General features: G+C 41.5%; 1 protein-coding gene across 36 annotated transcripts in view, besides 1 other annotated feature; it reads right to left on the bottom strand.

The window, feature by feature from the left end:
• CAMTA1 (calmodulin binding transcription activator 1) overlaps nt 1-22,026 on the bottom strand; it is a 984,253-nt gene that overhangs the window by 881,038 nt on the left and 81,189 nt on the right. For 4 of the 36 annotated variants that reach the window (NR_146204.2, NM_001349627.2, XM_017000781.2 and 1 more), the window contains one exon: nt 16,653-16,912. The exons of 25 other annotated variants lie outside the window; for them this stretch is intronic. Coding sequence is in view for 4 of the 11 variants with exons in the window: in NM_001349627.2 (NP_001336556.1) it covers nt 16,904-16,912 (9 nt within the window). In the remaining 7 variants the exon portion in view is untranslated. Of the gene's footprint in view, nt 1-467; nt 2,430-14,245; nt 14,555-16,652; nt 16,913-22,026 lie in introns of those variants that run through there. 7 more of the 36 variants (NR_146202.2, NR_146203.2, NR_038934.2 and 4 more) reach the window with 7 other exon arrangements.
• Nucleotides 20,592-21,324: an enhancer, noted in NCBI's record as "H3K27ac-H3K4me1 hESC enhancer chr1:6927405-6928137 (GRCh37/hg19 assembly coordinates)". NCBI's record gives its function as "activates a minimal SCP1, AML or CMV promoter by ChIP-STARR-seq in primed H9 embryonic stem cells {active_cell/tissue: H9 hESC(primed)}" and the evidence as "EXISTENCE:reporter gene assay evidence [ECO:0000049][PMID:30033119]".

Below are 22,026 nucleotides of genomic sequence, written 5' to 3'. Positions count from 1 at the left end.
CCAAGTTTCCTCTATATCTTTGTTAATGCCTACTTGATCTAGAAAATATTTTGATTTATCTTGTTTACTCGATGCCAAAATTTACCTTAAATAACTGAGAACCACTAAGTATTTGCCTGTTTCCTGCCTCCCTTTTATTTCTCCATGTTTCTTTCTAGACTCTCACTAGATGTCGATATTACAGTATTCCAGAGACATGACTCATGTTTCTATGCATCTCTGTCTTCTACTTCTTCAGGAGGCACCGATACCATCACATATAGTAAGTCTGTAATTCATAATTCCAAAGTCCTGATATGCTCCAGCTTCTCACAGCACCCTGAACTAGGCTTCCAGTTACTTCAATCACAACAAAAGCTTTATGCTTCTTTCCAAACTTTCACTGCTTTATCATTGGAAAAGGTATTTATAAATGGCAAGTTAAAGGAAAAACATTCAGAAAGGATGCGACGCAAGTGACCCACACATTCGTTCAACAGCGTTTATTTAGACTCTGCACTGTGTCAGCACTGTCCTATGCACTGAAGATACAAGGGGACAAGACAAAGGCCCTGCTCTCATGGAGCTTCCATTCTGATGAGACAGGTGGTAACTGACTGGAAAACATACCACCGCTGGGGCAGGTGCTAGGAAGAAAAAGGCAGCTTGCTGAGGGGACAGAGTGGCATCATGGATGGTCACGGAGGCCTCTGGACCAGGAGGCGTGTGCACAGAGCCCTGCTCTCCAGAGCTCAGTCAGGCTGCGGAGCTCCTTCGTAATAACTCCGGATGAGGCAAGAGTAGGTCACTTTATTCTATTTCATTTTTAGTAACATTCGGTTCAAATTAATTTGGGGTTTTGAGAACAGTTAATTCACTAATAGAACTGTCTTAAAGCCAGACATGGGGCTGGCAGGATGGGAAAGCTCTCCCTACGAATTCTGCCAGCTTTCATTCCAATGTGTCAGCCCTCATGGCTCCAGCTCTGTGGATCCCTCTTCTTTGCTGCGCCCATGAACAAGTGTGTGGTGAGAGCCTGAAATAAATAGGTGTAAAATGGGTCAAAACCGTCGCTTCTATTTCTGTTTTTAACTGAAGAAAAATTTGCCCCATTTCCAGAGGCAGAGAGAGGAGGAGACATCTGGGTAAAGGCAAACTAAAGTATATATTAAACACACACATACGTATACAGATGAACAGGTATGTATCTACCCCCACCCACATACTATACACATGTACATACAACCATATATGTCTGACTTCTTCGCCTATGATAATCCAAAACTGGGTCTCATACAATGGTCTTTTTGCAATCGTTACAGCATGACTTTTATTGGGTTGTAGGTTTTATCTTTAAGAGGCCACAAAACTTTTTTAAAAGATCAAATAAAAAATTAAAGGTTCAAAGAAGATCAAGGCTCAGATTCAATTAACACTAATTTTGGAAGAATTTTTTTACTTACTATGCATATTCAGCAAACTACTTAAGTTTTGGGTTTTCTTCTAACATAGCAACCCAGGGGAGTCATTATGTACAATCAACTCCCTAATTCAGATTAACATATCTAAGTACATATTGATACAACAGAACACAATGCTTGCAGAGGCTCCCTGCTAGAGACTCTCTGCTTAAGCACAGGACTAAGAAGGTGGACTTCTTAAATTCCATTTCCAGCACTTCCCATTGTTACTTCCTGGGCCAGTTTCATAGATTAGAAGAATATAATACTTCAAAGGGATACTCTGGTTTCCATGAACAAAACGACTAGCATCTCCCAATTAATGTAACATCCTAACAAGTGAAAGATGACTTCTAAAATGACCAAAATGACCAAAAATGCACAGTGAAGCTGAAGGCAAGCCCCAGATCTGTTCTTTCATTTCTCTCCCTCACTATTTTGGGGGAAGGGTCAAAAAGGGAGTGGCTGTAGATAAAACACTCCACACTGTGCTCATGAGTTTTCATGGGATGAGCTGGAAGCATGTGGTAGGGTGTGGAGGGTTCTGTCTCATTTGCTTCCCAAATTTGGGACTGATTTCCAAACAAACCTCAAATCAACTGAATATCAGCACAGCTGTTTAATTCCAGTGGACAAAATGTGAGTAAAACATCGCCTTCAGGCCTGTGCCCAATGCGCAGAGGCCAGTGACTTTCACAAGTCACAAGTACCTAGAACAGGTACTGAAAAGAGCATGCTGCGAGAAGAGCTGTGGGCTTCTTACAAGGAAAGCACGAGTGACATTTATGGCCTATTTCCCTAGTAGTTATTCAACTAAATAATTAGTTACTTAAGATATCAGCACAACAAATTGAAGATTTCAAGGCAATCAAATGTCAATTACATTTTTTTTAACATAAAATACGAGTTCCTCTGGAATCAGACAGCAGCTTCTGACTTGTTTTCCATTGCTCTTTGCACATTTGCTTTCTGCTACCAAAATTTTAAGACCTGTATAAACAAAAACAGTATTTATTCTTCTCTTCCTCCAAAACACTTATTAAGTTTACATTTTGGGCTTGAAGGTATGTTACCCCACTGTCACTTCCCCCATCCATCCACCCATAACCACGTGCAGATGGTGGGCTCAAGGAAAACAAAAATAAGGGAGGACCAGCACCCTTGCCCAAGGAGCTCCCACTTGAGTGGAGTAAAGACACCAACAGAGATAAATCACAATATGCTATGGCAAGGGCCCGCACAGGACATGGGAAGCAGTGCCCAGGGTAAGAGTGAACCAAAGGACAGGCTGTACTGAACACAGTTCCCAAGAAAAGGTGCATGGGAGGAGTGGCATGCGGGCTGCCCTCCAGGGGAAGGACTCGTGCAGAGAAGGGAACAGCAAGTAGGAACGGACAGAAAGAGTGTCCACACATCAGGGGAGGAGGAGGGGAGGCAGCAGGTGAGATGCAGCTGGGTGGGGCATGTTGCACTTCATCAGGAAGGGGTGGGTTTGGTATTTCTCTGCTTTCACCTGCATCTACATTCAGAGGTAGGAGTTTCAAGTTAATGAATACTTTATTAGTAGAGACAAGTCCAAATGACCAGAAAAAGAACCCACCAGAGCAATGGCATGCATGTGGACTCTGCAGCCTGAAGACGAGGGATGGGGGCAAAGGCTTGCCTACTGCAGACCAAATACCTGCCCTGGTTAAGGCTACGCTGGCTATGCTGGTTAAAGTTTAAGTTTCAGCAGCAAATTTCTGAAGGAATGAATGAACTGCAAGTTTAAATGTTATACTTTGGATGGTTTGAGCATTCTAATGACTCAGGTATAAATAGAAAATAATTTTTTAAATGTCAGAACTCTCATTTTCTTAATCCCCTACACACACACACTGACCTTCACTTTCAAAGAAACTAGAATTGTGTGTGTGCCAAATTAATTATACTAACAATGCCTTTAAAAAGCTAATATTTTTAAAAAAGCAAATACTTCCATAACATGTGTTGTAATTTACAAGAGGTATCATAAAATAGCTCTTCTTTTGCTGGGATTTATTCCAGTCCATTCATCATAAAGATTTCTGTGTGAGGGGTGACTCTGTAAGCAAAACACCATTTAGCAGGAAGAAAAACCTCAAAACAAATTACAAGAAAGCCATTAATGTTCTTTTAATTTCTTGCTTAATTTCCACTTCTTGGTATCCATACACTTCCTCATCAGATGGAAACATTTTAATTAGAATAAAGAGAGTTTAAGAAAATGTATGTAATGAGTAAGCTTTCATTATTACTAAAAGGCATTAACTGAGCTTTCTGTCATGTGAATACAATGGTGCGGGAAGGAGAATACTTTGTGTAAAAGATAGGAAAGCAACACAGTTAATGATAAACCAGAGTCTCTACATGCTCCTAGGAGATTTCCAAAGGTGGGATACTGACATGCTCTAGACTGCTTAGACTGCGCATTCCCAGGATTTTAGCACTACAAAATGAACAAGTAATTATTCCTTCAACACATAAGGCATCCAAGAACACAGGGTTCACAAATACTTCCTCAAAATGGGCTCGCTTCCTAACAGTGGGGTTTGTAGGATTTTTGAGGGTAATTTTTGAGAAGAATTCTTTGGTTAATTATGATACTGCAGGCAACAAACTAAAGGGAAACTGAAGTAAGCTTAAACCTGATAAAGGTACAGAATTGGGGCATCCATTAACCTCCTCCTTGGAGGCTTTCATGAGAGGCTCACATGATTAAGATGAAAAGTAACATGTATGCTGCTGAGACGCTCCTGTTTACTCTTTCAAAATATTTTACTTTTTCCTGGCCTACGAGGCTAAAAAATACCTGATATTATCAATTTTTATTCATCTTTAAAAACACATTGTGTGGATCAAAGCCAAACAAAATTGTGTGTGTGTGTGTGTGTGTGTGTGTGTGTGTGTGTGTGTGTGTCTCTAGAGAATAAGCTAAATTCTCTGCATGGTAAAAGGCTGCTAGGTTCAGCCATCGAAGCACATGACCTCTACCAACTGCCATGGTGTCCCCTCCTTCCTCTTCAGCCTTGCTCCCCTCAGAAGGAGTGAGAAATGGTTTTAGATCTACACGGCCAATCCTTCATGAACCACGACCTCCTTGTTCCTTTAAACACTTCCCCTGTGATAATCCTGGACTACACTCCATGACCATCCCATGAGCTGTCCAGTAAGGCAGCCACTGAGCACCTGAAATGTGTCTACTTCAAATTAGAAGGTAATGGAAATATAAGATATATACCAATTTCAAAGACTTCATACCAAAATAAGTAACTTCTCAATTTTTATACTTACTACATGGTCATGTAATGTAGACTTACTGGGTAAAATAAAATATATTACAATATATTATTAAAATTAGTTTCCTTTATTTTTACCTATTAAAAATATGGTTACTAGAACATTAAAAATTACACGTGACTCACTGACACTGCTACTGTACAGCAGAGCCCCTGACCTTGATGTAACCAAAACTGACCCCTCCATGATACCGATTTCAAGCCCTCTATCTACTCTTCGACTATCCCAACTCCAACAACTCCTCGATCCTATTCCTTGAATCCACTGACCCCATGACCTCTTACTGACCCTCAGCTCCTTCATGCCTCCTGGCTCCTTGCCTGGCTTAGACCACATGGTCTATCCTCAATCCTCACATCGATTCTTCTGCGCAATGCTCAACTCCCTTATGCCTCCTCCCTCCACTGTACTCACCTGGCAAAATCCTAATCCCAGGTTAAATCCAACTCCCTGCCCTCTCCTGCCCTCTCCTGCCCTACACTTAGGCTGCCGAAAGCAGAATTCCTTCAGAGCACCAGCTCAGCTCCCTATCCAGTCGTTTTTGCTTGAACCACCTGGAACTGGGCTTTTATTCTCACCATTTCACTCATACAGCTCTTATCAAAGTCACCAACGATCGCCCCGCTACCAAGCCCACAGTGAAACCCGTCTGTTTCTTGCTCCAGCTTTAGCAGCATCTGACATAGATATCACTCTGCTTTGAAACATGAGCTTCCTTGTCCGGGCGCGGTGGCTCACACCTGTAATCCCAGCATTTTGGGAGGCCAAGGCATGTGGATCACTTGAAGTCAGGGGATCGAGACCAGCCTGGCCAACCCAGCAAAACCCCATCTCTACTAAAAATAAAAAAATTGGCCAGGCATGGTGGCACACACCTGTAATCCCAGCTTGGGAGGCTGAGGCAAGAGAATCACTTGAACCCGGGAAGTGGAAATGGCAGTGAGCTGAGACCAGAGGGACATTCTGTCTCAAAAAAGCAAAGCAAAGCAAAGAGAAACATGCACTTCCAGGACACCCCCATCTCCTGTCTTCCTTCTCTGATTGCTTCTCATTCTCCTTTGCCTCCCTTCTACCCGCTTCCCCTTAACATTGGGTGTCCCAGGGCTCCATGTCTGGACTTCTCTATTGTATACACTCCCTAAAAAATTTCATCCAGTCCTACGGCTTTTAGAACCCCCTATATGCTGAAAACACTCAAAATCTAGCTCCAGCCTCAGCCTCTCCTTGAAGTTACAAACTCAAACATACGACTGCCTATTGAACATCTCCACCTGATCTTACAGTCAACAGGTGCAAAACACAACCTACATTCTCTTCACCCCTCCTCCCCAACCTGCTGTTCTCAGTCTTCCTGATCTCAGTAAAGAAGAATAGCATTCTTCCAGTTACTCAGTGCAAAAACACAGTCATCATCCCTGACTCTTCCTATATTAATACAGTCTACCAGCTCTTCCTTTCAAACATAACCCATATATGACCATTTCTTCCTGCTCTGTCCAAGGCACCATCAGTTCTTGCAACAGTCTCCTCACTGGTCTCCCTACTTCTATCCCAAACCAGGGATCAACAACTCTTTTCTGTAAAGGGCCAAACAGTATAGATCTTTCAGCCTCTACAGGCCATATGCTCCCTGTTACAACTACTTAGCTTGGCTGTTGCAGCTCAAAAGCGGCCTCAGATAATACACACAAGAGTGTGGCTCTGTTTCAATAGAACTGGAACTGGACACTGAAATTTGAATTTCATATAATTTTCATGTGAAATAAAATACTGATTTTTTTTCAACCACTTAAAAACATACAAAGCATTCTTAGCTTGCTAGCTATATAGAAACAGGCAGTGGGCCAGAACCTGCCATGGGCTGTGGTCTGCTGGCCCTGCCCTGGAAGATTCTCTGCACTACATTCAGAGTGATTATTTTATTTTATTTTACTTTTATTTTTTTGAGACAGAGTCTCACACTGTCTCCCAGGCTGGAGTGCAGTGGTGCGATCTCCACTCACTGCAACCTCTGCCTCCCAGATTCAAGCAATTCTCCTGCCTCAGCCTCCCGTATAGCTGAGATTACAGGCAACCGCCACCATGCCCAGTTAATTTTTCGTATTTTTAGTAGTGACAGGGTTTCATTATGTTGGCCAGGCTGGTCTTGAACTCCTGACCTCAAGATCCGCCCACACTGGCCTCCCGAAGTGCTGGGGTTACAGACGTGAGCCATCATGCCCAGCCCAGAATGATCCTTTCTGTCATGTCTTTTTCCTGCTCAAAAATCCTCAGGTGGCTTTCCTTCTCTTTCGGCAAAACCAAAAGACCGTGCCAAGCCCTGCGGGGCTGCACAGGACACTACTTCCTGGCTCCTCCCCTCCCGTGCCCCTTCCCACGCTCTGCACAGCAACACAGGCCTCCTTGTCATTCTCCTGGCTTCTCTCTCGCCATTGCCAAATCTATCTCTGTCTATCTCAGCGCCTTTGCTTTTGCAGTTCCCTCTGCTTGGAATACTCACTCTAGACACCTACGTGGTCACGGTGTTGCTTCCTTCAAGTGGTCACAGTGTTGCTTCCTTCAATTCACCTCATGAGAGATACCCGCTCAGTCACACTAGAATAGCATGCACAAACAGACATGCAAGAACCCTCTCACTGTGTACCTTGCTGCACTGTTCACCACACTATCACTGACATTTCTTTCCTTCTTTAGAAATAAACAGATTGGGCAGTTTTTTAAAAGAGAAACAAAATACCACAGTGATTAAGGGCATGAAATCTGGAGTCCAATGACCTGGACAGGAATGCAACAGCACCACTTACTAGCTATGTGACACTGAGCAAGTTAATTCAACTTCTCTGTATCTCGGTTTCCTTGTCTATGAAATGGGGATAATGACAGCAGCTACTTCCTCAGTATTCTGAAGAGTGAGTTAATAAATGTAATTGGCATATATAAGCACGCAATTACTGTTATTTATTTTTGTTTTTGTTTATTGTTTATTATTATTCCTCTCCCCCAACCAGAAAATAAGCTCTTCGAGGGGAATAACATGGTTTTGTTTATTGCTTCATTCTAGATACACCTAGGACAGTGCCTAGTACTCGGTATTCAATAAGTATTTATTGAACAAACAAATATTTGAATTTAAGTCACTCTGGGGTGGGCAGAACACTCCACTCCCCTCCCATGATCATACAGATATCAGACAGAACAAAAGCTTCCTTAAAATCTGTTAGAGGCCGGACATAATGGCTCAGGCCTGTAATCCCAGCACTCTGGGAGGCCAAGGCGGGCGGATCACTTGAGCTCCAGAGTTTGAGACCAGCCTGGACAATACAGTGAAACCCTGTCTCTACAAAAACACAAAAAGTTAGCTGGGCATGGTGGCATGCCCCTGTGGTCCCAGTTACTCAGGAGGCTGAGGTGGGAGGACTGCTTGAGCCCTGGAGGTGGAGGTTGCCATGAGCTAAGACCATGTTATTGCACTCCAGCCTAGGCAACAGAGTGAAACCCTGTCTCAAAAAAAAAAAAAAAAAAAAAAAACACTTTTAGAGGCTGGGCCTGGTGGCTCATGCCTGTAACCCCACACGTTGGGAGGTTGAGACAGGAGGATCATTTGAGGCCAACAGCTCGAGACCAACCTGGACACATAGTGAAACCCTGTCTATACAAGAAAAACAAAAAAGTTAGCTGGGCGTGGTGGTATGCACCTCTGGTCCCAGCTACTCCAGAGGCAAGCCTAGGCATTTGAGGTCACAGTGATGATCATCGTGCCACTGAACTCCAGGCTGGACAACAGAATAAAACCCTGTCTCTATTAAATTAAAGATAAATATAAAAAATAAATAAAATTTAAAAAAAAACCCTACTAGAGAAAGAGAAATAAAAAGCCTACCATTCCAGGTGGGTTTGCTGATGCTTCTCTATTTCCTACCCTGAAGCGAGGCATAATGCCGTTCTGAGTAACAAGTGGTTTCACTTTATAAGAAACCTCCCACAGGGCCAGGCATGGTGGCTTATACCTGTAATCCCATCACTTTGGGAGGCCAAGGCAGGAGGAACACTTGAGCCCAGGAGTTCGAGATCAGCCTGGGCAACAGAGACTCCGTCTCTACAAAGCCAAAAAAAAAAAAAAAAAATTAGGCGCAGCAGCAAAGGTAGTCCCAGCTACTCGGGAGGTTGAGGCAGGAGGCCTGCTTGGGCCTAGGAGTTCAAGGTTGCAGCAAGCCATGATTATGCCACTGCACTCCAGTGGGCGGGTTCTTCATCTGGGTGACAGAGCAAGAACCTTGTCTCAAAAAAAAAAAAAAAAAGAAAAAAGGAAAAGAAGCCTTTATAATCTAAACCTGTGTTGTATACTCAAAGGTTACATGTTCAGGTCTTGAACCAAATTAGAGAAGAAATAGATTTCATAGTCCGGTTCAAATTCCACATGTAAAATGCCAACCTAATACCTAGCAGCACAAATCTGATCTTACTGTATTTTCTAAACACAACCACAAATGGCTGTTTACTCAGAGCAGCTAAGATTTAATTGACTTCTGAAACCAAAGGACATATCATCAAATACCTGAAGTCTTCCCCAAGCCAGAAAGTAATGGACACATTTCTGTCTACCAGCCAAGACACAGGCTTCGCTCACAGCACATCACAGGGTCTTGTGGGTTTGGTATGTCTCCTTACACTTACACACACACATTTCTCCTAGGATGACTGAGTTTTATAGATGGTATTAAGATAAAATACTTCCAGGCTCTACATTTGATGACATATTCTTTAATGTGAAGATCCTTATATTTATCCCGGTATAACATGGACTCTTTTTCAAGCGGAAACTCTACTTCCTTTAAAAGAAGTGCAGGGATGGTAAGGTAATTCACTGTTCAGCAAAGTAGAAATTACTCTCCTAGCCTCTAAACTAAAACTCTTCGCTGTGATAAAAGAAATGAACATCTTCAGTACTGGTTCTACCAAGTAGAAAATGAATTAGTGAGATGTAGGTGGTAAAAACATACTTGTATCAACTAGTATGTAATCCCGTTGCACAGCTGCCTATCTGCACTGAATGCCTGAAAATGACATGTGTGACAAAGTGAAGGGTTTTGAGGAGGGGTAAGAAACTGGGGGTTATGGAATGGGTGAAGCCCAAGCGGTCATGGTGAACTGCCATGGACTTTACCATCTGCCCACGTCCCTTACTGATCCAGCTTCCTGCTGATGGCAACGGAACTAGAACAAATCGCTGGGGATCCTTGGGGGAGCGGTTCCTGGAAAAGTGCTAAGATATGAGAGAAGTCGTCTTCTGTCACTCTTTGTGGGTGTTTTTGTTTTTTGTTTTCAAATTCTGCACTCAATTGACCATTAAGGTCACTGTGACATGGCTGAGAGGATCTGCATGAGGCAGGCAGGTACAAGTCACTTCTCAATTCTGTACTGCTATACCGTGGCAATGCCTGAAAAATCAGAATGATAGCCCTCTAATTTAATACTGTATTTAGCTGATAATCCTAAATAACACCTTGTCAGCTTTTGTGATCTAGCACAAAACCACACGTCTTGTGATCTACGAGCTGGGCTGTGGTAATGCCCTTGACTTGAGGCTTAAAAGCTTTGGTTGGGACATAACTTTGATGTATTGTCTTTCATTTCAAACTGCAATGATTATCCTTGAATCTGGCATCACATAGAGTGCTACCAAAATTAGATTATGGTTAGTTTATAAGACAACCTATTCCCTTTGGTGTACCACCATGAATGTTGCTACTCTCAGCTTTGCATGTTTGCAAGATCGAAAAGCCACGGCTGTTTGGTTTACAGGATGCAGGGATAAGAACCATCTGCCTGGTCTGGTGTTTCTTTAATTAAAACTTTAATTACAGATATATCTCTGCACAGATACGTGCAGTCTATCAGCTCCTGTTCCTAATTACCTGTGCTAATGAGAAATGAAAAGACAGTTAATGTTTGCTGAGTATCTACTATGTGCAAGGACCTATGTATGGTCAGATGCTCCAAGGTGAACTAGAGCAGGTAAAGTAGATCCCAGGTCAAACCTTGGTAGTTTCCCCTACCAGTCCTTTTCCCACCATTACAAAAGAGTGACAAAAGTCATTCTGGTTTCTCCTTTGGAAATACGAAAGGCTTAGAGGTATAAAGTACTCAAAAGGATCCACACAGAAGAGAGAAAAGGGGCTGGATATCCAAACCTGAATAATTGAAGTTCTGTGGCCAGCGTATGTGACAGTCTGTCATATGGAGTATTTGCGACCCCACCTGAAGATGTGTGCGGAAAGTGGAAAATCTCGTCTAATTCTAGGATTCTGAGGAGCATCACACAGCGTGATGGTAACCACGGCCAGTTTCCCAGGGAAACAATCACCACAAATGAGAACAAATGGGAGACGTTTTCTGTTATTTCCTGATCGTGCAGCAATAGCGTTGCCGACTTTTCCTTCATTAACTCCCTTTCTACCTAGGGCAGATCTTCATTGAGGAATGACAAAAAATCCTTCCACACCTTCACCATGTGTTTCTTAGTGTCCTCAAAAGCCTCAAGCAGGGTTAAACACCATCAGGATGGACACCTAAAGCAGCCCACTTGGTGGTGCCAAGGCCAAAAGGACAGGGTCTAGGGCACAACCAAAGCTTCCCGACTTTCACAGTGAGGAAGTCTGCCGCTTGCCCTCAAAACTGCCCTAACCTTCTATCATTTGTTTCCATGGGAGGGGGAGCGCAGAAGGATGATTACTTTGACTGTTTCTCCAACATGTCTAGAGGCAGGCAGTTAATCGCAGCAGCTATGCGGTCACATTGCCTCTGCTCTCCGCCATCCCAACTCTCACTCAGCTAAGGACACAGAGGAGGAGGAGGCAAGTCCTGGCCTGGAGGCGGGCACCGAAGAAGCACCTTTCTCTCTCAGGAGTGGGTTCCTCACCACCAAAAATGAAGGGTCCAACCCAGATGATCTCAGACCTTCCAGCTCTAAAAACTATGCAGCAGATATGCTAAAAGCCTGACATAAGTGCTCCCTTGAATGGTCCAAATCCATCTTATTGCCCAACATTCTGTACTATTCAGTGATTGAAGCCTGCCATTTCTCGATCTATCTAAATCTATGAGGCTAAATTACCTAAGATCTTCAAGATAAACCACCTAAGTTAGGACAGACAATCACAAACAAAATCTGACAATTTTCAAGCTAATGACGGGCAGTACCTACTTCTTTGAAAGACAGATACTAAGACAAATTAAGAAATGTTCATTTGGCCAGGCGCAGCAGCTCACCACGGTAATCCCAGCACTCTAGGAGGCCGAGGCGGGTGGATCACCTGAGGTCAGGAGTTCGAGACCAGCCTAGCCAACATAGTGAAATCCTGTCTGTACTAAAAATACAAAAATTAGTTGGGCACGGTGGCACACGCCTGTAATCCCAGCTACTTTGGAGGCTGAGGCAGGAGAATCGGTAGAACCCAGAAGGCGGAGGTTTGCAGTGAGTTAAGATCACACCATTGCACTCCAGCCTGGGCGACAAGAGCAAAACTCCGTCTCAAAAAAAAAAAAATTAATTAATTAAAAAATAAAGAAACATTCATTTGCACGTCAACTCTGTGGTAGGCACCTGAAGGATTTCAGGGACCTCACAGTCTGATGACAGATACATTGTAAACATACGCCAGATGGTGGAAGAAAGAGAAAACAAGGAAAGAGGGAACTACGAAGGAGAAGAAAAGAAGGGAACGATAAACCCATAAAAGAGAGGAAGAGAAAAAAAAATGAAAGAACAAGCAAGCAAGCAGGGCCCTCTACTTCATTTCACTCTAACTAAATTCAAACCTGGCTTCTGTGGTGATCAAGTGCTCACTCATGGAAGATGGTATTCTACAGGGTGGATGCCAGGAACTTTTCCTACAGAAACAGTACTAACAATTGTTGGCTGAACAACTAAACTGGCCCATAAAACTCATTTTACCTTACAATGGAGTCAACTACAGAATTAACAGCATTGGCCCACACTCCAGAAGCACAGATCCATATGTGCACAATGTAAGGACCTATTTGTTTTCTTGTTTACAAAATAAACTTCCTGTATTTCTGAACCTATCCATCTCTCTAGAACAAGAGTCTTGGGATGGGGCAAGTGTTTCTTAAAAAGTGAATTATTTTAAAAGCTGTACAGAGGAATCTGGATGTGCAGCCAGGATTAAGGAAGCCATTGGTAATAAGAGTCCCTAAAAGTGACACATGTATGACAGAGCCCTCCATGGGGGGCAGGAAGAGGGGCGGTTGTTGAAGCCAGCTAGGGGCCTTCAGAAGTTAGGGGCGCTGTTGCATTAAAAGGTCTGGGCCAGGCACAGTGGCTCACACCAATAATCCCAGCACATCGGGAGGCCAAAGTGGACAAATCACGAGGTCAGGAAAGTTCGAGACCAGCCTGGCCAACATGGTGAAACCTCGTTTCTACTAAAAATACAAAAAAATTAGCTAGGTGTGGTCGCGGGCGCCTGTAATCCCAGCTACTCAGGCAGGAGAATCGCTTGAACCCAGGAGGCAGAGGTTGCAGTGAGCTGAGATCGCGCCACTGCACTCAGCCTGGGTGACAGTGCGAGACTCCATCTCAAAAAACAAAAACAAAAAAAGGTCTGATGGCTGAAGGATGATAATGCGTACAGCTGAGGTCCCTACAACTAAAAGGGCAAAACCGTTTCCTAGGAGTGGCTCAGCCAGGTTTGCAGCTCAATGCAAGGCAGCAGTGCTGTGATATGAATGGCACTTGGATTTAAGTGCCTGTCTGGCAGTTTACTGAGGGTGTGAGCCTGGGTGAATTTATTTAACCTATCTGGGCATCAGCATTCTCATGTGCAAAATGGGGTGAACATACCACCCACCTTGTAGGTAAATGTGGATGATTAAAATGTATGGAAAGCCCTGGGATGAATATGTAACAGGCATTCTTACACACTCAGGAAAGGCAGTGATGTCCCTTCCACCTCACTCAAGAGGACAACGAAGCCTCCCGCAGCTGGGTGAAAACCTTGAAACAGTTCAACACTTCTGACTCCTTCAAAGCTCCCTAGACACCTTACCAAGCGTAAAAGGGAACGAGAAAGGCTAAGCAGGTAAAAGGTGGGTCTGTCCCTCAGGTTTCCTTCCTTGTCCCTCCATAGCCAAAAACAGTTAAAAGAACCTATCAACAAAGGGTTATGGAGCTCTTTGTGATCTAAACTTTTCTTCCTAAGAGATTAAAAACCCAGATTTAACTTTATGCACCTGAACTTGCATCTGTTTTAGAGGAGCTTAATTACCATAAACTATTCGGTTCCTCTCTCTAAACATATAAGGGTCTCTAAGTCAGTGTTAGAAGACTACTGGGGAATGGTTTCGAACCTGATTTTCTGTAAGGTGTGAGTCCCCCTGCTGGGGTTTTCTGGGTGTGAGGATCAGCCACACTACATGGCAGGCACTGCTCTAAGGACTTTGTGGACATGTGCTCAGCTAAAACTCACCAGGATCCTTTAGTGGGTACTATTATCATCCCCAATTTAAAGAGGGGGAAACTCAGGCACAGAGAGGTTGGGTGATTTGCTGTGGTCAGACCACTTGCAAGAGGTCGAGGTGGGATTCGAACCAAGGCAGCCTGGCTCCAGAGCCCATGGTCCTGGCCTTTCACCACGGGGTTCACTACCACTGCCTCTCAGCACACCGGTTATGCCTGCCAACGGCACAGCCATAGGATGAGGTTCAGTTTCAACAGCACCTTTCTTCTGAGTTCCCAGTGTGTCTGTCATACAGTTTCATTTATCCTCCCAACAACCCTAAAAAGCAAGTGGGAGACACACAGTATCTACATTTCACAGAGGATAAAACAGAAGTAGCATCGATGAAATGTCTTACAACTCCTATATTTTAAGTCAAACAGCTAATTTCACTGTTTTTACACCAAAATGAAAGTCTTCTGAAGTCTTTCTGTTGGAGTATTTCAGTTTTGTGTGACTACCTCAACAGATACCAGTAACATATCCAGAGACTTTGCTAGTCCAAAGCAGGTTACCTGACTCTCAAATGAAGGTTTTTCTCAATGAATCACATTTACAAAAACATCCATTGGCTTACAGTCTACTAAATGTCCTAAATGCTAACCAAATAAACAAGGCTCATTGGAAATAAGCCATAAATGTGTCCATGTACTAGCTCTCTTAGAAAAATGAGGTTATCTTAAAATGTATTAAGCAGAAAACTTTAAAGAAAATCTAACTGATCTAATCGTAAAATAAGAGAATTAAAAACTTTTCTCGTCTTAACCTATTAATTTCTCTTCAGCTGCTACTGGACTTACAAATAAAGTACTGTCTACCTCAAAGGCAGATGGGAGCCCCAGGGGAGCCGATTCCAACAGCAGGGAGCTGTGACTCTCCTGGGGACCATCAACCAGCTCATCCCTCAGGGGTCAGCCGGTTTGGGGCTGCTTGAGCAAGAGGAATGGAGGCAACAAGCAGTCATGGCCCCCCACATGGCTTCCATGTACCATCCACTGAGCCAGATGCCATTCCTTTAGTGCTAGAAGGACATGGCATCAAAGGAACAAATAAAGGACATACTTAAGGCAAAAAAGTCTTTGGGGATCTGGTAAACATGCCAGCACAACTGTGAAAAGCATTATTTAAAAAAAAAAAAAATCACCTTAAAATTCCAGGTTTAGCAAAAAAGTTGCTCCTGACTACTGGGACATTATAAATCACAGGGGCTTTATAATCATAGGATGGTTTACCTATTTGTATTTCTCAGCTCTGATATTTTGCAATTCTGTGAAAAGAAAACATACCCAACAGGCCAAAGGCAGCTTTTCAGGCATCCAAGTATACTAGGCAAGAACAAGCTCGTGAGCCTGAACAAAACTGTTCGTGAGAGTTCCAATCGCCAGTGAACAGCTAACCACGACTAATTTTAATTTGTGGTTCTAATGAATGACATAAACTTTTATAGGTATCAACAAAGCTCAAAGAGGACTTAAATCCATTTCAGTACTCATTTAGCAGCTTCAGCTGTGTGCAATTAAAACATCAGCATTAAATGTTAGAGAATAAAATAATGAGACACTTAAAAAGTAATCTGTGCTTCAGTGGGCCATGCTGAGAGAATTCACATGTTTTTTTTAAGGACATGATTTCTAAGGAGTATCTTGCCAGTTCAAAGAACTGACTCAAGTTTGGTTTCTGTCTTTCGGTTTTGGTTTGTTTTGCTTTAGATTAAGAATTTTCTGAAAAGAGAAATACAATAAAAATGCATTGTTTGAAAAACAGTCATGAAATTGCATATGGCAGAAATCAATCTGGTATTGAGACTACCAGGGCTGGCTGACCAGGTTTTGGCAGAGACAAAAGTACATTTTTTGGTCATGTTAAATTGCTTGTTCTTAACTTATGCCTAAAATTAAAGAAATAAAATATTAAAAGAGTGGGGAAAGGTGAATTTGGGTAATGAGGCAACTTTGTATTTTTCTAGTCCTTAAATGAAATTAAAATTAAAAGTCTAAGCTTTTTCTCCCCAAAATACTTCAGAATACAAAATATAATCTGAAGATGTATAATGTGGCAGCTAAGACTAATAAATTCAAGTTGCTACTATTTCTGAAAGAAAGATAAGTTACTCTGCAGAGGAAAGGGTATGTGGTGGTGGTGGTGGTGGTGGTGGTGGTGATGGTGAGGGTGTATGTGTGATAAGGTGAGGGGCAATGGTTTGGGTGGTTTGGGAGTAGAGAAGAGGTATGGGTGTCCTGGGTGTGTGTAAGTTATACGTAAATATCAAGTTAATTCAGCTTCTGCAAAACATGAATAAAAAAGGAAATATACTGTATGGGGAAATGCACTCATTAAACTTAAATTTTAAAAGGATGAAAACACAGATTACACTTTATTTTAAAACTGAAATGAATTTTAATACAGAAAATGAAGACAGCATTTTGCAAATTTATCACTCAAAGGGGTATCTCTATTTGAGGAAATCAGCGTGTTACACTTTGAAAGATGAAATGTTACAGCTTGTACACCAAAATTAAAAAATGAAATTAAATTAAAAAATGAAATGGTTACCAAGGTAATGCAGGTCAGGGGATCAAAGGTGAAGGGTCACACATTATTAAAAAGAAATCCAAAAGGACGGCTGCATCATGATCTCTGCAAAACAAAGGAGCTCCAGTAAGTAAAACTAGTATCTCTGAGAATTTAAAATCAAGCTCTTGAAAAGATTCCACTGTAACTGAACCCCATCATTCCTGATGTCGTGTAGAGCCATTTTTATTTACATACAAAACCACACTTTCATTACCTGTTACCAACAATTTTTTTTTAATTTAACCATTCAATCATTAAAACCTAAAATATCTTCAACTGAAAGTGACCAAAAGTGCTGATATTTCAATTTGACCCCATAACCTGTTTTCTGGAAATGACAGTGTTTGATAAGTTGCCAACATATCAGAAATCTAATGTGGTCACAGCATGGTGAGTTTTTCCTCTCCTCAAGGAATGAGTTCCAAAATTGAGTTTTTGCAAATTTGTTTCATTTGAAGTAGCTGCATAAAATTTCCATTATTGGAACATTTAGTATAACAATGTTCTAGAAGACAGCAATAAAGTGATACATGATAAAATAAACCGTGTAACTATATCTATTAAGATGTGGTCTCACATTCAACTTTCACTGCACAGGGGAAAAAAAAGACATTTTAAGCAAAATAACTTGCTAGTTCTACTGGAATTACACAGAATTAATAGGGGCTTGACACGAGGAATATCTACAAGGGTTTTTTGTTTTGTTTTTCCTGTATCTGACAGGCTTCATTTCATCAATAAGTGTTATTATTTACTCACTTTTCCCATTAACAAACTAAAGCAGTTTATGTTTTTTAAAAGGATAGACCTATGGTTTTGTTTTGAAACATGAAGCTACCACCCAAATCATGACAAACTTTGCAGTAATGGTAAGCACTATAATTAATGGTTATACTAAATAATTTCAGTATTCATTTCACTAGTATATAAAATGAACAGTATCATAACACAATCATCTTTAGTGTCTCCTGTCTAAAAATTAAGCTTTAGCAGGCTATATGCTCCCTGGTTTAGGGATCCAAATTCCTTAGTGCTTACTAGACAGCAGATTCTACAAAGCAGTGTAAATGATGGCCTGCCATACAGAAGAGTAAATGGCAGGAGCATAACCAGGAAAAAGAACTTAGTTACCATTCTTTTTACAAGAGTTCCCACTTGCCATTTCTTCTTACATTCTCCTACTTCAGCTGTAGCCCACAATAAATTTAACATTTGAGTTAACCTTGTTAAAACTAAATTCCAAAAACACTTAGATATTAAAATATAGACAACTTCCAAAAGGATTTTATTAAAAGAAACAGAATATTCTTTCTAGAGGCTTACGGCAATCAATAAATAAACAAACTCTATAAATGCCAGATGTTTGTTCCTGTGATTAGGTTTTGTTAAAATAACTTGCAGAGCTCATGCACTCGGTCCGAGTGTTAGTGCCCTAAAGCCATGTTTCAAAAAACACAATGTTTTTTTTTTAAGTTGCATAGCTACTGAAAAGTAAACTTGCATTTCATTTCTCTGGAATGCTCATCTCACATAAAGTCTGTCACATATGTGTTTGTTGCTCGGAGGCATGCAAGTAATTTTGAACACTGCAGAAGGAATCAACACCCCATGAAAACAATGCATACGTTGTTTTAGTAGCATCATTATTTAGACCATTTCAGCATGTTTGTAACAAAAAACAAGAAGCGAGTAGTGTAACACGAGTCAAGTTCTGTTTCCCAAAAATATTTTGCATTAAAAAGGGGAAAAAGTAAACCGGTTCAAATCAATTATCTCTATGTACCTCCTTCATTACTAAAACATGTATGTATTAAATAACAATCTCTTCTTGACATCAAGATGATGCAGTATTCACAGATGCTTTTTTAAAGTCTTCTAAATCATCTTGAAAATTCACCAACTCACACACTAAAAAATGTTAGCCCAAATCTTCTATCAGCTTAATCTCTGCCAAAAGTTTCAGACACCAGACTACCTGAACGTGACGTCCAGGCAGGAATTGCTCTGAGTGCCTGAATATTACAACCAACCAAATTCCCACGTGGGAATGAAATCAATCGCCTCACCTAAATACTTAGTGGTTCTGACAAAATGGCTCCAAATGAAATGGTGCCAATAACAACATTTTAGGTGATTTCAAAAAAATCTGCAAAGGATTTTAGCTAATGTTTTCTACATGAGTTTGCTATTTAGGGAGGGGAAGGTAAAGGCTACTAGGAGTTTACTATGTCCCTCACAGTCAAGGAACCTGGAATATAATTTAATAAGTAAAAAGAAGGCTAGAAGCCATCCAAGGGGCAATGCAACCCTAGGGAGTAACTAATTCCACTTAAATTATGACAACAAAGAGCTGATTCTGAGTCCGGTCTGTTTGCTGAGGCAAGTATATAAGCCACACACATTTTCCCACAGAAATAATGCTGTAAAGAGGAATTAGACTTGACAACTGTCGATTTAACCTGAACTATTTGAGGTTATTGGGCCTGAGTAGCTTCTCTCCCCATCAAGGGCTGGCCTAAGTCTTAACTTTGGATACAAAGCCCTCTCTTCAGAACCTCCTGTCTTCCTGCCCCACTCCCAGGCGCCAGCAGCAGTGCTTCAGGATCCAAGATTATCCATCTTCCTCTCTCTTCCAGAAGCCTCCCTTTCTTCAATAAGGCACAGTCAGCTCATGACTATGAATGGACTGAATTAATACACACCAGTGCATGAACAGACTGAGCCTGAGGGGTTTTCATTCACCCCAAACAAATCCCCAACTGGCAGAACTACCAGGTATTTTTAAATCAAAGAGTACAGAAAGCTAGTCTAGCTCAAGGAAGACTTTTTACATTACAGCTTGTCTCTTTGTAACTAGTAAGTGAATTAGACAGGAAATACTCAAAGACCCTAACCAACCCCCAAAACCTTGCATAGGATACAAGCTATCCTTAATCTAAAACTGGAAATCTACTCTACACTGCCCTATCTGTGAGTTACATGGAGGCTGAAAGAAGAAACACACCAAGTTTCACTTTCACAAGTCCATCAAGTCATCAGTGTTACAGCAAAGAATATTCTTCTAGGGAAATTATCACCCATATTAAGCTCTAACTACCTGGACAACATTTTATAGGGATACCTTTTCCAACAAACTCAATTTGTATTCTATGTTAAAAATCTTCCCCCCTCCCTCCCTGCCCCACACCAAGGAGTAGTACTTTAAGCACAGGGAATTGGTTCACTTCTCAACTAAACAGACAAAGAACAAAGAATGTCATTTCTAGTAAGGTTAAATCATGACAGAAATGCCGCCATTTTCACCTCAGGCATATTACTTTCAAAACAAAATACATGGAAGAACTGTAAAGAAATGAAAAACAAAGAGCCAAGAAAATGCAGAGTCATAGAAGCTAAAAGGAGACAGCTGAAGAAACCCATTAAAATAAAACCCTATACAGTCGTTTTTTAACCCTATACAGTCGTTTTTTGTTTTGTTTTGTTTTGTTTTGTTTTGTTTTTAAAAAAAAAAAAAAAAGAGTCTCGCTCTGTCACCCAGGCTAGAGTGCAGTAGCAAGATCTTGGCTCACTGCTGCCTCCGCCTCCCAGGTAAAACTTTACACATTCTACTAACTCTTTACAAGATCGCTGTTAACTCAACATTATATAATGCTTTCTGCAGCAGAAACTAACCTCAGCAAGTATATTCAACAATTAAAAAGAACTACCCAGGCCAGGCACGCTTCTGTGGCTCACGCCTATAATCCCACCACTTTGGAAAGCAAAGGCAGGAGGATCACTTGAGCCCAGAAGTTTGAGACTAGCCGGGCAATATAGGGAGATCCCATCTCCACAAAAAATTAACATTAGCTGGGTGTGGTGGTACATGCCTGCAGTCCCAGCTACTTAGGAGGCTGAGGCAGAAGGAACACAAGCCCAGGAGGTGGAGGCAGCAGTGAGCTGAGACTGTGCCACTCGCTGCATTCCAGCCTGGGTGACAGAGCAAGACCCAGTCTCTGGGGGAGGGAAAAAAAAGAAAAAAAAAGAGGTGATTACAATGAGAGCAAAGTTTATTATTTTTAATCTATAAATATAAATAAATCAATCACCAGCATGCCATTCAACAACAAAAAAATGCACTTGAGCTATGTATACACTACAGTTAGTGGGGATTACATTTTTATTACCATTTCATGTTAGAATTCATGTTAGTCTTTCTAGCATGATAAAAATGCCATCTATTGAAAAACCAAAGAAAAGCGCAGCCTTTGGCTTTCATGTCTGTAGCTCACCCGCAAGTGGCCGGCAGGTGCTGTCCTCCCTTTCTCTCCCTCTCCTGCCAGCAGGCACCATCTCCACCTCTATTCCAGCCTTTCCGAAAATATATTTCCTGTCAAACTCTTCCAAGATGGTCTGTTCAGAGAATCTGTTTCTCAAAACTTTCTATAAATATTACAGCAACCTATACCTACAATCATATTATTTCCACAATACTCCTCAAAAAGAAAAAAAAAGCGAAAACTACAAGTTAAATATCTTTCTACCTAGTATTTTATCCTCAATAATGTAACTTTTTTTTTCCCTAAAAACATCAAAGCTTTCACAAAAGGAGGAGAAGGGTGGGCAGAAGGAATCGCAAAAGGCACCAGGAAACTTTGGAGAGTGATAACATGCTCATTATCATAGTATGGTAATGGTTGTGCGGTGTATACAGATGCACACTTGCAAAATGTACAAGACAATGCACAACTTAGTATGCCAATTATACCTCAACAAAGCTGCTTAAGAATGGTGGGTGGGGAGCCTGAGACAAGAATGCTGCCCTCTCCGCGTGCTTTAGGCACGCAGCCATGCTGTGGCCATCCACACAAAGGAAGCTGAGAGATCATGGAGAAGCACACGGGAGCCGCCATCCCTGAGCTGCTTGTCTTCTTGTTACATGAGACAATAAAAGAATCCTCAATGTTTATGAATATAGAAATACATAATAAACACATAAATGCTACATATTTAAAACCCTTAGTATTGATTACTAATTTTCAAATTAGCCACAAACCTGAAATTACCATATTTTCCAAAGCAAAAGTCCGGGCACAGTCTGACATAGTTTCGCTAAAAAGAGACTATCTGAAATCAGCTTTAGATATACTCCTATTTTTGCAACTGACATGCTAATCCACAAAATATGCTTAAATTTT

Source organism: Homo sapiens, chromosome 1 (genome assembly GCF_000001405.40).
Source record: "Homo sapiens chromosome 1, GRCh38.p14 Primary Assembly".
Classification (NCBI taxonomy): domain Eukaryota; kingdom Metazoa; phylum Chordata; class Mammalia; order Primates; family Hominidae; genus Homo; species Homo sapiens.
Note: the sequence above shows the minus strand (reverse complement) of the source record. Positions and strands in the feature narration are given on the sequence as shown.